Consider the following 17572-nt stretch of genomic DNA (forward strand, 5'->3'; position numbering starts at 1 on the left):
TACAACCCAGCAAGCCAAGAAATAATTTTTTTTTTTTTTTTTTTTTTTTTGGAGAGACAGGATCTTACTTTGTCGCCCAGGCTGGAGCGGAGTGATGCAATCATGGCTCACTGCAGCCTCGAATTCTTGGGCTCGAGCGATCCTCCCACCTCAGCCTCCTGAGTAGCTGGGACTACAGGTGCACACCACCATACCCAGATAATTTTTTTATTTTTGTAGAGATGAGGTCTCACTATGTTGCCTAGGCTGGAGAATTGTCTTTAATGGAAGGGAATGATGTGGGATAAATCTGGGAGTGTTCATATGTTGTTATTTATTTCACATTTTTTTGTACATTTCAGCAAAAATACACCAACATTGTTAAAGAAATGAAAGCAAAGGATCTTGAAATCAGGATACACAAGAAGAAAAAATGTGAAATTTATCGGAGGTAAAGTAATTATGTGGTGTTTTATCTACGTAGGTGAGGGGAAAAAAACCTGATGTTCATTTCATAAGTTTCAGTAAACACTTTGTATTTTTACAGACTGAGAGAGTTTGCTAAACTGTATGACACCATTCGAAATGAAAGAAACAAATTTGTTAACTTACTCCACAAAGCTCATCAGAAAGTAAATGAAATAAAAGAAAGGCATAAAATGTCATTAAATGAACTTGAAATTCTGAGAAATAGTGCCGTTAGTCAAGAAAGGTAAGTGTTATAATAACTATTGGCCTTTCAAAGGCTTGTTTTCTGATTCATTTGAACTCTAAAAATCCTGGGGATAAGAAGATAGGAAAGAGGCAGAGGCTGCAATGAGCCAAGATGGTGCCACTGCCCTCCAGCCTGGGTGACAGAATGAGACCCTGTCTCAAAAAAATAATAAAAATAAAAAATAAAAAGAATAGTATTTTAGAAAGCCAGAATTAGAAATCCAGAAAAAGCCCTTGTTCAAACATCTTGTTTTATAGATGATAATCTACCATGCTTCTACTCTTTGGGAGTCATTTTTTTAATGAATGAAAAACCATAACATATAACTATGCTTACTATGATGATTTTCACCTGCCCAATTAGAAAGAAAAGCACAAATCTAATAATTGGGATTGGGAAGTTAGAAAACAATCAAATCGTTTGTTAACCAACATCCCCTGATTGTAGATGTAAAGCATCTCATGTGTTGTGGGAGGCAATACGTTATAGCAGATTGGTGAAAGAGGTGGTGTCCAGACTCAAATACCACCCCTCCCACTTATTACCTCTGTAACCTTGGACAAGCTGCTTTGTCTCTCTGAGCTCACTTTCCTTATCCATACCATATTTCATGCGACATTTTACTGTGAAATGAGCTAATTCATATAAAAACACTCAGAAAAGCGTCTGGCAAATGGTTGTTTTCTTCATTTATTATTTACCATGTGCCAAGATCTTCTGGACTCTTTCACCTATGTTAGTAAACAGTACACGATCAGGGTATAATCTAATTTTCTGATGGCCATTATTGCCCAGTTTCCTTCAACAAAGCAATTATAAAGTGGCCTCATTTCAGGGGTCGGGGGTGGATGAAAAGAAAAATATGATTTCCTAATCAGGTTCTCATCCAACTTGAAAATAAAATACATTTATAGAGGCCATGCATTCATTCAGCATTTATTGTGGCCACAGGCTGAGTCAGGCACCACCTTATGTCCAGTGGACATTATTGGATATAACCATCTCTGTCCTCAAGACAGCAGTCTCCTGAGAATGACAATAAATGAATGACTGCAGTCTCTCGCTTTGATAAAGGGGGTCAGCAGAACATTGGGGGGAAAAGGAAAGATGTTCTAATCTGGAGCAGAGAAAATCTGAGACCTGGAAGGATTATGAAAATTCCTGAAGAGTATCATAAGATGAATATCATTATTACTAGTATCATTTCAAGGGCTACACTAAAGCAAGGTCTGCTTTGATAGTGCTTGTGTTTCAGAAGCCTTCATTCCTTTTAAATAAACTAAAGAAAATTATAATCTTACCCATTGTCTTATTACTTTAAAAGAAAGCTACAAAATTCCATGCTGAAACACGCCAACAATGTTACCATCAGAGAGAGCATGCAAAACGATGTGCGCAAAATTGTATCAAAACTTCAGGAAATGAAAGAAAAGAAGGAAGCCCAGTTAAATAACATTGACAGACTTGCCAACACGATCACAATGATCGAAGAGGAGATGGTGCAGCTTCGCAAAAGATACGAAAAAGCTGTTCAGCATCGAAATGAAAGGTAAAAACCAGGTGTGAGAACAGAGCACCAGGGATCCAACTGAGGAATGTCACCTCTTTTTCTATCTAGACTTGACAGTGAATAGTGAGGGAAATGTGATATTCAGGTTGCATTAGCCTTTGGAGAGAAGGGACTGTGTGTTGCTTCCCTGGAAAATAAGAAACACTGTCCTCACGCTGGGCACAGTGGCATGATCCCAGCACTTTGGGAGGCCAAGGTGGGTGGATCACTTGAGCTCAGGAGTTCGAGACCAGCCTGGGCAATAGGGTGAAACCCCATCCCTACTAAAAATACAAGAAATTAGCCAGGTGTGGTGGTGGGGGCCTGTAATCCCAGCTACTTGGGAAGCTGCAGCACGAGAATCGCTTGAACCCGGGAGGCAGAGGTTGCAGTGAGCTGAGATCGTGCCACTGCACTATAGCCTGGGCAACAGAGCAAGACTCCGTCTCCAAAAACAAACAAAAAAAAAAAAAGAGAGAAAGAAAGAAATACCGTCCTATGTCATAAACAGGCAAAGAGGAGGGGTTTGGGAAAGTTGCTTGCTTTTGAAGATCAATGTCCTTTCCTAAGTGGTCATTCGGGTTGCCTCTTATAACATCAGATTCTTTCAGCATAATTGACATAAATAAGTGTGGAACTTGTACCCAATGTTGTGGTAAGTTTGGTCTTATTATATTTAGCCATTCTCCTAGTTCATTTGCTCAGCAAGTTAGTAAGACCTTTAGGAGTAGCATTATTTCTTCCAGGTTGCAGTTATATCATTAATCAATGTTTACTTCAGCAGTTTCTCCCAAGTTACTTGTGCTCTGAGAAATTGGAATGTGAAATTTGCAGAGCCCTGTGATAATGACATCTGGTATCAGATTTTTTTTAAGCAAACTTTGATTGTGTGCTATTCTGTATAAGGCATTAGAGTGCTAGACCTTGAGAGTACAAAAAAGTGGTAAAACATTGTTCCTGGCTTCTGTTGTCAAGAGAACTTGATCTTGAGCCTTTGAAAGGAAAACAGACAAAATATAGAGCTGGGATTAGCTGAGTACAACCACATGCATGCATGTTTTGAGGAAGGGGAGTCATAGATAGAAGCAATTAAAGGAGGAACTCTGAAATAATGTATATGCATAATGTGTGGGAAGACCTTTAGGGTCCTTTGAAGAACAGCACATTTTCAAAGGGCTGGTAGGTTTTTCTCCAGGGGAGAAAAAAAATGCTATTCAGCTCCTGGCACAAACCAAAGCGTTTGGACAAACAGTGTGCACCCAGGTGCCACTCAGATCAGTGGTGCATGATCGGTCATGCAGACCAGAGCTGCTGGGGTTAGAACATTCTTACTTTGTTTCCTCCCCATATTCTCCATTCAAGGAGGGGTCTTTCTCCTGGCATGATTACAAAGGATAGATTTTTGCCTGTTTATGGGGAAATCACAACCAGAAATATTCAACTTGAGAAGAAACTAATGGGCCTAGCAACTTAATATAGAGCAGACTCACACCAGAACTACATTCCCTGGCCCCCTGCCTGTGTGCTTCTGGCCAGGCCTTGGTTGGCAAGTCTGACCCGAGAAAAGGATCTGCAGAAAATCAGACTATGGGATCACTTTGTTTGTGCATTGGGAATGACATTCTTTCCCACCCCAGGAAAACCTTTGGGACTTTCAGAGACATTGTGGCTAGCCAACCACATGGTCAGCCTCAAAGTTGAGAGGCTCAGTAACCCTCCTATCCCTAGAGAATTCCAAAGTGTGGATGTAATTTAACTAGAAAGCCATTGGTGACTATCTGTGATCCTCTGGAAGTATGCTATGTTGTGTATATCTTGCATCCAAAGCCAGAGGGAACCACAATGACTAGTAAAACGGTGGTCTCAATGCCCACTTAGCCTCTGCCTCTGAATTTGACCATAGTGGCGTTCAGCTGATAGAGCGGGAAGAAGAAATATGCATTTTTTATGAAAAAATAAATATCCAAGAGAAGATGAAACTAAATGGAGAAATTGAAATACATCTACTGGAAGAAAAGATCCAATTCCTGAAAATGAAGATTGCTGAGAAGCAAAGACAAATTTGTGTGACCCAGAAATTACTGCCAGCCAAGAGGTCCCTGGATGCCGACCTAGCTGTGCTCCAAATTCAGGTGGGTGAGTGATCACGGGACACTTCCTCAGACCATTTATTTTTTTCTGCCTTTATTAGTTTGTGGGTGAGTTCTTGCATGTAAACCAAGCCATACTATTTCTGGGACCTATAAGAATCCATCCATCTTGTTTAAAAATACATTTGAATGCTACTCTAGGATGGAATCTGTGCTTCAGGCATCCAGGCTACACATTGTCTTTTTTTCTTATGAAGCATTTTCTGCTTTTCTTGGAATTTGAAGACTCCCAGGACTTATCTCTAGCTCAGCTTCCTCATAGCTCAAAATTTAGTGATCTAGACTCTCACTACCCTCAGCATAATTATGTCGTTGCTGCTTGCTGGACAGATCTTGAGGATGAGCCAGCACTCTTACTTTTGATACTCTGGCCCCCAGAGCAAGAGATTGTCTGGAGATTGTTGCTTATTAGTAGTTGTCAGTTACATATAACTTGATTCTTTATTAACCACTGTAGTTCTATGATAGCTTAGTAACCTGGCCTTTGACATGGCCTTTTTTAAAGTGGAATAGATCCAAAAAACTAAAACATGAAATAACAAAATAAATAAAATGTGAATATAAAGTTACTTTCTTCACATGTGTTACTTGGGGTTTATTCTTCATAGAATTTTTTTAAAAATTAAAATAAAAACTGTGTAGCCTAAACTTGTTCCCATTGACCAATGTAGCAGGAACAAATTCTAACCTATAATATTTTTTTTTAAATGTCAGGTTTGCGTTTGGATTTTTTTTCCTGATAAAAAGTTAAGACATTTGGTGAATGAAATTTTGTAAAAGTATAAAAATTATAAAGAAGAAAATAAAATTCTACTCCCAAGATATAATTGCTATTAAAATTATCAAAAATCTGGGAGACATCTTGTCATTTATTTTCTAGGTATACAAGTAAATGTTTTTCATTAGCTCATGCCCTAGACAGTTTTAGATCCCCCTTTTTTTTAATCATGTGAAGGGGATTCATAGGATTTCATGGGACTAGATGATAGATCTGCTTTCATATTTTATGCCATTTGAATGTGTATATGCTGTATAGATAATAGCCTCTTTCAGTTTGCACAAATATGCCAATGTTCTGATTCCAAGTTTGTTTGTTTTTTTAATTTAGCCTTGAGTTCTTCCACTCATTTCTTCAGTAAGTGTAGTCAGATTGAGATCGATTGGCTAGAAAGTCCCCCTAAACTCCCACAGGCCTCCCCAGGCTTCCTGTGGCTCTGACTCCTGCTTCCAACAAGGTTCATTTGAGGGATCACCCATCAGCCTGCACACACAGTGCCTGTGCCACTTCTGTGCCATGTCTGCAAAGGCACGGAACTCACCCCTTCCTCAGGCTACACCTACACAAGACCATTCAAGCGAGGCCTCTGTGGACAGACTTTATTAAAGATGTGGGGCAATGGTATGTGGGGTTACATTACAGAAATGCAAAGCACTTCAATTTGATATCAGATATCCATACTCTTCTTGGGGGCACTGGAGACGCTTCCCTGAGCACTAATACCTTGTACCACACCCTTGCCTAGCTCGATTTCACTGGCTTCTCTTTCACCTCCCCTCTCCCTCCACAGCCTCCTCATCCCAGATTGCCCCCAGGAACTCCATGCTTGCCCCCACTCCATTTTACAGAAGAATTTGTCTCTCTCCAGCTTTTTCCCAAAATGAAGATTTAGGTCCATCTTTGCCCATCCTAAACTATCAAGATGCAGAGCAACACAAAAGATCTTTAAATTCAATAAAATCTGCAACAGAATAATTTCCTCTCTATTGTATAAGCATATTCTTTGTGTTCACTGCAAATCAATACTTCCATTCAGTGGATAAAATTGTTCTTAGAAAAAAAATTGTCATTTTATTATATAAAACCTATTATCTAGTATGAAATGTAAATTCACTTTTACCCAAGAAGGAAATATTATGCATTTCATAACACTACACTCCCTGCCTGATGGTGAATTTTGATCATTTTGATTGCACATGAACTGAGACATGCAGACTGTGTTATCAGTTATCTGCTCTACCGGAGTGAATTCTGATTATCTGCTCAGCATCAATCATGTGTACCCTTGAAGGATATGATGTGAAATTTCTAGCTTCAGGCAAGCCATTTCTGTGCCCTGTTCTGCAGTGTCAGATCCCGGTCATATCCTGTCATTTTTTACAGCCACAGTGTCTTGGGGTTTGTTTTTTTTTTAAGTCTTCTCCCTTTTTTGCATCATTTTCAGAATTCTCTTAAGGTTTGCATTTTTTTCGGTCGTCCATAACAGTTTTTAATTGTCCAACAATCTAATCCAAGGATTATCATGAGTCTGTTCTCCTGGTTCCTATAATGATAGCTCAATTTTAGGAAGTTATATGAACTATTTTGGGACACAAGGACACTATTTTACATAGACAGAGTAAACAGTTTTTCCTCAAATGCCAAGGGAAAACTAAAATTGAGACATCCCTTTATAAGCAAGCACTATATTTTTGTTTCTTATTTAGTTTCCTAATTAAGAAAAGGGAACATTAAGTATTGTTAATAATAAATACAACAAATGCTTGATTACATATGTATGTACACTTCAATTCTATATTAAGGACATTTAAGGGATGTAGATACAGGAAAAAGAAAAATGTTAAATTATTTGTCAGCATTTGTAATTATTTTTGTAGGGAGGAGGAGCATAAATTAAATTTTAAAAATGCTACCTGTATCAGTCTTAGACATGTTGTAAAATACCATCAATATATTATCTCATATGATGGATCAACCCCATGGCACTGAGCCTTTTCTTCCCATTTGACAAGTGAGGAAACTAAGGTTTAGAGAAGATAAATGATTTACCTGAGATTACACAGGTATTCAGTAGGAAAACTGAAAATAATGCTTGTTGGTTGTCACCATGCTCCGTATCTCTCTCCCTATAAAACAAAAACTAAGTGTGGCTACCATTCCTATTTAGGAGTAGCCATGTTTCTTCATTCACCACCAAAATCTCATTGATTCAACAAATAGAGTTGATACATATGACACTATATTAGGGATTTAGCAGAAAAAATACAAATAGCCCAAGCTGTTCCTCACAGAGTGTACATTAGGTAGATTCAATAATTAAGAATGTTTTTCTCTTTCTTTGGGAAGCCATTAAACCTATTGCCAGCCAAGTGTTTTGAAATGAAGTCCAGTGTGTTGTATGTGAGTTACCCTGGTCTCTGTAACAACCTGCAATGAAGAGGTGAAGGCTGTGTGTTAGTTCATTTGCATTGCTGTAAAGGAATACCTGAGGCTGGATAACATAAAGAAAAGAGGTTTATTTTAGCTCATGGTTCTGCAGGCTGTGTAGGAAGCATGTGCCAGCATCTGCATCTGGTGAGGGCCTCAGGAGGCTTCCAATCATGGTGGAAAGCAAAGGGGGCGCAGGCACATTGCATGGCGAGAGAGGAAGCAAGAGAAAGAAGCAGAGGAGCCAGGCTGTTTTTAAACAACCAGATGTCACTTGAATTCATAGATTGAGAACTCACTCATTATTGCAAGGACAGTACCAAGCCATTCATGAAGGCCCCATCCTGCCCCCATGACCCAAACACCTCTCACCCAGCCCCACCACCAACGTTGGGGATTATATTCATTCAACATGAGATTTGGAGGGGGACACATCGAAACCATATCAGGCTGTATACTTGGAGCCCTGCAACCACACAGCATCCCATGAACATGACCCAAAATGGGAAGCAATCAAGGGCCGCTTGTGAAACCAGCTTTTTCTATGACCCAGAAGGCACTGCCTCACCTCATATGATCGAATTATAGACATCATCGTCGCAGTACCATAAATGAGCAGAAACGTCACTTAACCAGGTCCCAGCTGATGGGGTGTTAAGAAAACAGAGTTCTCTTCTACCCTTGTCTGGGTTGGTCCTACTAAAAAACTCTCAAGACCCTAGGCAATGTGATTTTCAGATTAACTGAGCTAGAGCGTTCATTTTAAAGTTAATGTTTTTTTCTTAATAGTTTTCACAGTGTACAGACAGAATTAAAGACCTGGAGAAACAGTTCGTAAAGCCTGATGGTGAGAATAGAGCTCGCTTCCTTCCAGGGAAAGATCTGACCGAAAAAGAAATGATCCAAAAATTAGACAAGGTAAACATTATTGCTTAAAATTGCATCTGTTAGCTCCTCGTTGATGTAGTTTCACAGATACCTATGGTACTGTTTCATGTTATGCTGACAGACCTATCCTTCATTATTCTAGTCACTAATATAGTCCTTTTGTTGTAATCTAGTCATACATTCTAAGCTTGATTTAGACACTTGCCAAAAGAAGTTCCAATCCAGTGGTTTCGAGATTCCAAAGGCACATTTCTCTCATGACCCAAAGGAGTAATTTTGGCATCTTAAATGGATTAATTTGTCTTCCTGATGGGAGCACATCAGAAGAATGGTGATGTGGATGTTAGATAGAGCTGAGGGGGCCATACTCGAACTCCCAGAGGTATCTGCAGGGGCTGGGGCAGGGAAAGTCTTAACCCAGCTCTAAACACTTTCCAGAGGTATTTTGTGGGGGGTAGGGGGAGATACTGCTCTAATTAGGAAATAAGATTTTGTCTTAGATGACTTTTTTTTTATTCCTCTTGAACCAATTTTCAAACATAGCTGGAACTACAACTGGCCAAGAAGGAGGAGAAGCTGCTGGAGAAGGATTTCATCTATGAGCAGGTCTCCAGGCTCACAGACAGGCTCTGCAGCAAAACTCAGGGCTGCAAGCAGGACACACTGCTCTTAGCCAAGAAGGTAGGCCTGAGACCCTGCCTTTTCCCTTCTGCCCCTGCTCCTTTATTACCTTTTATTTTCCACAGACCGACAGATTTATTGAGAGAAGCACTGGAGAGATTAGGCTTTATGACTAGGGGAACTTAGAAAAACGAAAGGATGACTCAGAGAATTGTCCAAAATGTTTCAATCTTATTCCCTGAATTAATTCACTTCACGGTGGCAAAACCTAGGCTTTTAAATGACACTATACAAGTTTCACTTACCAAGGCAACTACCCAAATATGACAGTTATTATCTTTGTATTTCATGCACAAAGTTAAATCCTTTTTAGTTCCTTTTAAGTGGAGCGCCTCACTTATCCAGTGATCTTAGTAGGGACTGCTCCAATCCAGAACTCAGCCAGAACCCAGAAATTGAAAGGGACTGATAAAGAGAAATGCAGTCACACAACACCCAGACCAACTGCACCATGGAGGTGCCCACCAGGCACCACTAGTGAGGAAAGGCCAGGAATACAGAACCCCCTAATTTAATAAGCGTAAGAGACCAGGACAGCAGATCCAGAGCCTCAGGGTCAGGGTGGGACTGCTAGAAGCTGCACTGAAAGGAGCAGCCAGCAGAGCCCCTAGAAGTCCCCCTGGACTCCCAGCATGTTGCATGCTAGTTACCCTGGTCTCTGTAACAACCTGCAATGAAGAGGTGAAGGCTGTCTATTAGTTCGTTTGCATTGCTGTAAAGGAATACCTGAGGCTGGGTAACTGATAAAGAAAAGAGGTTTATTTTGGCTCATGGTTCTGCAGGCTGTGCAGGAAGCATGGTGCCTGCAGGTCTTGCCAGGCTTCCTGTGGCTCTGACTCCTGCTTCCAACAAAGGTTCATTTGGGGAATTGCCCCATCAGCCTGTACACCCATTTCTGGGTCATGTCCGTGCAGGCACGGGACTCACTCCTTCCTCAGTCTACCCCTACACAAGACCATTCATGCGAGGCCTTTCATGCATACCATAGAGCCATCAGAGGACTGGCCACTCACCTGGCCTCTGGGTTCCCTGGAGCATCCCGTCAATGCAGAGAGTTCAGCCAGTCAACAGTAATTACTGAACACCTGCTATGTGCTACTCTCATGCTAGGCATGAGTTCAGAAACAAAGAGGAAGGGACACATTGTTTACACCATAGGAAGCTCATAGGGTCTAGTAGGGGGAGACAGATGAAAACAGATAATGGTAATACCCACACCAGAGACTGTGGGCTCCTGAGGGCAGCAGCTGTTCCTCGTTCTTAATTTCTCCAATGCCTAGCATGTGCCAGACTCTAGAAAAACACTTCAAGGATGAGTAATCATCAGTTCTGTTCTAGAAGCACATGTGGAACACTAAACAAGAAATGATTGTAAATATTAGACTATCTTTGCCATTTTTATTTGACTATTATGCTTCTGCTCTGATGACTTCCATGACTAGACTGATCAGGCCAGTGGCAGGTGTGCAAATCACAACTTGGCCTCCCAAACTAAGGTACAAAGTTGTGAGTCACACGTCTGCCACTGGACTGATGCGAAGGCTCAGTTAAGCTCATGCACTTTGCCTGAATTAGCATGTCTGATATTTCTTTAAATAAACGTTGCCTTCCTTCCTTTTGCAAAATGAATTTCCCTTTCTTTGGGGGAAGTCATTTTTCACTGAGGCCTGACTTATCAAAGCTGATGGCAGAGTCGCCTGGAAGGCAACAGTAATGCTAAAGAAATGTACATAGCGGCCGCTTCCCATAGCCAGGAAAGCTCCAGCACAGCCGAGTCCTAGTCTAACAATTATTCTCCCCTTTCCTTTCCCTACCTTCCATGCTCTCCATTGGCTTCTTCCTCCTCCCCAGCTTTCACTGTCCCCACTCCATTTAAAATGATAATCTCATAGTAGGCAGAACTGGAAAGTAGAAAGACATTCAGATTCCAGATCTATGATTTATCAAAAGTAGAAAATGACCTTGAGAAAGATGGATAAATGATCTTAAAACTCAGTTTGCTCATCTGTGTAATGGGTGTGATAGCCAAAGTTGTTGCAAGTATTACATAGTCGAACACGTAAGTGACCTAGCCACATTCAAAAAGATTGCACATCTCCTCAAGTGTCTCACTTCTCCTAGATAGCTTATGGCGCCTCCTGCAAATTTCCCAACAGAAATGGGAGCAGAAAGTGGGAAATCTCAGTTAAGACTTGGAGCAACCCAGGATAATATGAAACTTTGTTTTCTAATTTATGGAAGAGAAGGGAAGTTGGCCAGTTACACAGATGGACACACACACTCGAGTGTGTAGTGGTTGCCATCCCATTACTGGGTATATACCCAAAGGATTATAAATCATGCTGCTATAAAGACACATGCACACGTATGTTTATTGCCACACTATTCACAATAGCAAAGACTTGGAACCAACCCAAATGTCCATCAATGATAGACTGGATTAAGCAAATGTGGTACATATACACCATGGAATACTATGCAGCCAAAAAAAGGATGAGTTCATGTCCTTTGTAGGGACATGGATGAAGCTGGAAACCATCATTCTCAGCAAACTATCACAAGGACAAAAAACCAAACACTGCATGTTCTCACTCATAGATGGGAACTGAACAATGAGAACACATGGACACATGAAGGGGAACACCGGGGCCTGTCATGGGGTGGGGGGAGGGATAGCATTAGGAGATATACCTAATGTAAATGATGAGTTAATGGGTGCAGCACACCAACATGGCACATGTATACATATGTAACAAATCTGCACGTTGTGCACATGTACCCTAGAACTTAAAGTATAATTTTAAAAAACAGATGAGAAAAAAGAAGAAAAAAAAAGTGTGCCGTGGTTGAGTGGAAAATGACTCCCCCCAAAGATAAGGAAATTCATTTAAAAAAGGAAAGGCAGCAACATTTAAAGAAACATAAGACATGCTAATTTACTCAAAGTGCATTAGCTTATCTAAGTCTTAGCATTTCTTATTTTATGAGTTAAAAGTTGTGAATTGCACCAATGCTGCTGGACTGTTCAGTCTGTTAGTGGAAGTTGTCAAAGCAGAAGCCTAGAAGTCAAATAAAAATGGCAAAACTTATGACTCACTGAAGTTTTTAGTGGTAGTCATTTTTATTTGATACATGCTGCTTAAAAATTAGTTCAGTATAGAAGAGTCATAAAAATGTATATTACCTACCATTAAGGAGGCAAAATTTGTGTATAATAATCAGTTATTACATTTTCAGAGGCAGGTAAATCACTAGCAGCAACATTTTTCTAAACAGAGGTACAGATGTGACCAGATATGCTCTGTTAGGAGAGGAAGGTATTCAGCATTAGTGTAGTATTTGGAAGCTCATTTGCATGTCCCAATTTATCCTGGTCCAAGAACAAAGAATGAAACAAACTAAGAGTTCATTCATTCCTTCATTCAGAAAATATTGAACTTTAATTTGGGGGGGTGCCTCTTATATTCCAAGCACTGTCCTGAGCACTGGGACTATGATGATGAATAAAACAAAAAGTCCTTGTCCTCATGAAGAGTACATTCTTATGGGATGACAAAAATAGTGAAATACATATATAATATCAGCAGTGAGACATGATGTGAACAAAAAATAAGGCAAGGTAAGAGGAACTAATGAGTGTTGCCAGGTAGAAGGTATCACCACTGAACTGCTCCACTATGGCTATCAGACTAAAAGAGTCTACCATTTATAAGACAGCTTACAGGAACCCCTAATTCCAGTTTTACTTCTTTCCTGACTCTTGAGATCTTTTTTTTCCAGTTAGTCTTATCTTTTAACTGTGTTAATGCTAAATAGCTGATATTAATAGGTTAAAAAAAAAAAAAGTCTGGTCGCAGTGGCTCATGCCTGTAATCCCAGCACTTTGGGAGGCCATGGCGGGTAGATTGCGTGAGCTCAGGAGTTCAAGACCTGCCTAGGCAACATGGTGAGACTCCATCTCTACAAAAAATACAAAAACAAATAGCCGGGTGTGATGGTGCACACCTGTGGTCCCAGCTACTTGGGAGGCTGAGGTGGGAGGATCACTTGAGCCTCAGGGGCAGAGGTTGCAGTGAGCTGAGATCACACCACTGTGCTCCAGCCTGAGTGACAGAGTGAGACCCTGTCTCAAAACAAACGAACAAAACAAAACACTCCAGGAACAGCTCTCATTCTAAATTATTGACTAAATATTCCCCAGCTCAGCTCATGCATGTTTCTGACCTAGTAATGATGCACACCAGGAATTATGATCAATAATGCCAACATGTCAATGTGATGGTTTTCATTTAAAAAGTCATTTCAGATGCAGAACTTCTGCTGATTATCTTATATAAGCAAAGAGTAACGTTAATTCTACCAGATTTTTTCCCCTGGATAAGTGACAAACTAATAACGTCAAATTAAACTAGAATTTAGGCATCAAGAACACTCTTGGCTGGGCACAGTGGATCATGCCTGTAATCCCAGCACTTTGGGAGGCCGAGGCAGGAAGACTGCTTGAGCCCAGGAGTTCAAAACTAGCCTTGTCAACACAGCAAGTCCCCATCGCTACAAAAATAATAAATTAGCCAACTATGGTGGTGCATGGCTATAGTCCTATCTACTTAGGAGGCTGAGGCAGGAGAATTGCTTGAGCCCCGGAGTTCCAGGCTGCAGTAAGCTATGATCACACTACTATATACCAGTGTGAGCAACAGAACAAGACCTTGTCTTTATTTTAATTTTTTTTTTTTTTTTTTTAAAGAACATCCCTGGCCAGGCGCGGTGGCTCACGCCTGTAATCCCAGCACTTAGGGAGGCTGAGGCAGGCGGATCACGAGGTCAGGAGATCAAGACCATCCTGGCTAACACGGTGAAACCCCAGCGCTAATAAAAATACAAAAAAAATTAGCCGGGTATGGTGTTGGGCACTTGTAGTCCCAGCTACTCGGGAGGCTGAGGCAGGAGAATGGCGTGAACCTGGGAGGCGGAGCTTGCAATGAGCTGAGATTGCGCTACTGCACTCCAGCCAGGGCGACAGAGCGAGACTCAGTCTCAAAAAAAAAAAAAAAAAAAGAACATCCCTTCACCTCTCCTTCTTACCTCTTAAAAATGGGCACTAAACTGTTCTCCTCAATGTTATTCACCTTGAAATCCAGTAACTAGATAAACAAATCCTTTTCTTGTTCTCTCCTTGTCCTTACTTACACAGCCAGGGTGTTCGGCTCAATATCTGCAGTCTCTTCCAGTTCTTAATTTCTGTGAATTCCAAGTTAGACCCTCCTTCCTTCAGACAAAAATGCACCCCGCCATTATAGACAGCCAGCAGCCTGCCATTTTAAGTCTTTGTGGACTGTATACATAGACTAAGCTTTGGGCTCTTTAATTCTAGATGAATGGCTATCAAAGAAGGATCAAAAATGCAACTGAGAAAATGATGGCTCTTGTTGCTGAGCTGTCCATGAAACAAGCCCTAACCATTGAACTCCAAAAGGAAGTCAGGGAGAAAGAAGACTTCATCTTCACTTGCAATTCCAGGATAGAAAAAGGTCTGCCACTCAATAAGGAAATTGAGAAAGAATGGTTGAAAGTCCTTCGAGATGAAGAAATGCACGCCTTGGCCATCGCTGAAAAGTCTCAGGTAGGCTTTGGCTCCTGTATTGCATTTCTAAAGGGTGCCAGCAGGGGTTGCATTCAGGCAACCCACAGTTATCCCACAGTATAAGAAAAATTTCCCCACTCTACCACACACAGTCCCAACAGTCGTTAGAAGTGTATTTAAGATATTCTATGATAAGTCAAAGTGCAGTAATCCAGAGTGCTACAATACTCACTGAAGAACACTTAGCAAGCACAGGGCCCACCCCATAGCCTTACATCCTGGGCTGCTGAGGCTGAACATCATGGCCTTCCACCAGCATAGCAATGACCAGGCTGGCACTGGCCTTGTCCATAAGTCTCCAATCTCTGTCTTGGCACCTCTGCTCAGACCACATCTGACTGTTCCATGTTCATCTCCTGTGGCCTCCACAGCATACAGTGAGGCCTCCACCCACATTTTAGGTGCCATGCCTTCTGCAGATGCTTGATGTACATCATAGGCCCCAGCGCCACCCCTTTCTTTTCCCACCTTAGGCCTCTGGCCTAAGACTAGGTCTATTGCTGACTCCCCCTGCAAGTTAGATAGCAGATCTTCTGTCTACCCCCATGACCTGTCAGTATTCTTAGACTGGAATTAGGCATCTCTTTCCAAGGAGTCTACATCCTCCAGATGTACAACTCACTCAGATTGCCAAGTGGGTATCACCGAAAGGGTCCCTATTTGCTCCTGAACTCAAGACAAAACTGCATTCAGAACACACTAGGAATACCTGAGCACAAGTGTAAATTACGTGATTTATAATTTCCACACCACCTGGGACTGTTCCTTTCAGGGCATTCAGATTTTACCTGTGGTGTCCCACTGCCATTTATTAGAGGGCTTTTCAGTGCAGTAAGTGATTACTCTATTTTCCAGAGGCACAGACAAAATCTTGAAAACGTTGAGGCTCAGGGCAAAGCTGGTGACCATTTTCCTCCTCTGGTTCCACTTTACTCCTCTACCTCTTCCATTGTAACTTTTGCTCACCAATGACTTACCAAAGGAAATATGTTGCTCTGCCTTTGTCAAAAACAGGGAAATAATTAGTGCTTGATGACAGATATTGAGGTGGAAACATAGTTAAGACCCACAAAGCAGTCTTTGAAAAACACTAAACTCCAGGATTAATGTGATGCTTAAGCAATACAGCCCATTCCAATGAGGTGTGGGGGTGTGTGTGTGTGGTGTGATTCCACCCTCCTACCCTAAACCCCAGGAATAATGTGATGCTGAAGCAATACAGCCCATGCCAATGAGAGGTAGGTGTGTGTGTGTGTGTGTGTGTGTGTGTGTGTGTGTGTGTGTGGTGTGATTCTACCCTCCTACCCCTCCCATCCCTTTGGGGAGTATCAGCTAGCACGGTCAAAGACTGTCCAGACCAGCTGTGTCTTTTGGGACCTAAGGATAAAGTGACTTCACCAGAGTTTTCAGAGAACTGAAAAGGAAAAATCATTCTTTGCAGGAGTTCTTGGAAGCAGATAATCGCCAGCTGCCCAATGGTGTTTACACAACTGCAGAGCAGCGTCCGAATGCCTACATCCCAGAAGCAGATGCCACTCTTCCTTTGCCAAAACCTTATGGTGCTTTGGCTCCTTTTAAACCCAGTGAACCTGGAGCCAATATGAGGCACATAAGGAAACCTGTTATAAAGCCAGTTGAAATCTGAATATGTGAACAAATCCAGGCCTCTCAAGGAAAAGACTTCAACCAGGCTTCCTTGTACCCACAGGTGAAAAATGTGAGCATAATACTTCTAATATTATTGATAAGTAAGGTAACCACAATTAGTCAGCAACAGAGTACAACAGGGTTTCTATTTACCCACCAACTACTATACCTTTCATGACGTTGAATGGGACATAGAACTGTCCTACATTTATGTCAAAGTATATATTTGAATCGCTTATATTTTCTTTTTCACTCTTTATATTGAGTACATTCCAGAAATTTGTAGTAGGCAAGGTGCTATAAAAATGCACTAAAAATAAATCTGTTCTCAATGAAGTACGGAAATGGACACAGTGGTCTTTGTTTATTAAAGAAAAAACAAATACTGTTCAATATACACACTTTAAAAAGAAAGAATGGCTATTTGAAAAGGAAAATACCTCAAGTATTGCAAAGGCATAACTCACTTTGTTGAATAAGAAGTAGCACTTAATCTTGGTAAATCTAAATTACATAAAGTAGTGAAGCTTGTCATGGCTTTTTGCATTTTTTTCATTTTATTTTTTTGACAAATAATAATTGTACCTACTCATGGGGTACATACTGAAGTTTCAATACATATAATGTATAGTGATCAGATCAGGGTAATTAGCATATACATTCAAACTTTATCATTTCATTGTGTTGGGAATATTCAATATCCTCCTAGCTATTTGAAACTGTATATTGTTACCTATAGTCATCCTACAGTGGTATAGGACATAGGACTTATTCCACCTATTTCACTGTAATTTTGTGTCTATTAACAAATCTACCCCATTCCTTCCTTTCCTCATCCTTTCCCTTAACCTTCCCAGCCTCTTATATCCGCTGTTCTACTTTTAGCTTCCACATGAGTGAGAACAATTTTTAGCTTCCACACATGAGTGAGAACATGTGGTGTTTAACTTTCTGTACCTGGCTTATTTCAATGAACATAACATCCTCCAGTTCCTTTCATGTTGCCACAAATGACAGGATTTTGTTCTTTTTTGTGGCTAAATAATATTCCGTTGTGTATGTGCATATGTATGTGCATATGTGTGTGTGTGTGTGTAGCTCCCATTTTCTTTAT

General features: G+C 40.8%; 1 protein-coding gene across 9 annotated transcripts in view; it reads left to right on the forward strand.

Annotated features, from left to right (window-relative positions):
- CCDC146 (coiled-coil domain containing 146) overlaps positions 1-16794 on the forward strand; it is a 172590-nt gene extending 155796 nt beyond the window's left edge. For all 9 annotated transcript variants that reach the window (XM_047420662.1, NM_020879.3, XM_047420664.1 and 6 more), the window contains 8 exons: positions 342-430; positions 527-691; positions 2019-2243; positions 4147-4375; positions 8388-8516; positions 9030-9167; positions 14542-14790; positions 16253-16794. In XM_047420662.1, coding sequence (XP_047276618.1) covers positions 342-430; positions 527-691; positions 2019-2243; positions 4147-4375; positions 8388-8516; positions 9030-9167; positions 14542-14790; positions 16253-16456 — 1428 coding nt within the window. In that variant the 3' untranslated portion in view covers positions 16457-16794. The remainder of the gene's footprint in view (positions 1-341; positions 431-526; positions 692-2018; positions 2244-4146; positions 4376-8387; positions 8517-9029; positions 9168-14541; positions 14791-16252) is intronic.
- The last annotated feature ends 778 nt before the right edge of the window (positions 16795-17572 follow it).

Source organism: Homo sapiens, chromosome 7, assembly GCF_000001405.40.
Source record: "Homo sapiens chromosome 7, GRCh38.p14 Primary Assembly".
NCBI classification, from domain to species: Eukaryota; Metazoa; Chordata; class Mammalia; order Primates; family Hominidae; genus Homo; species Homo sapiens.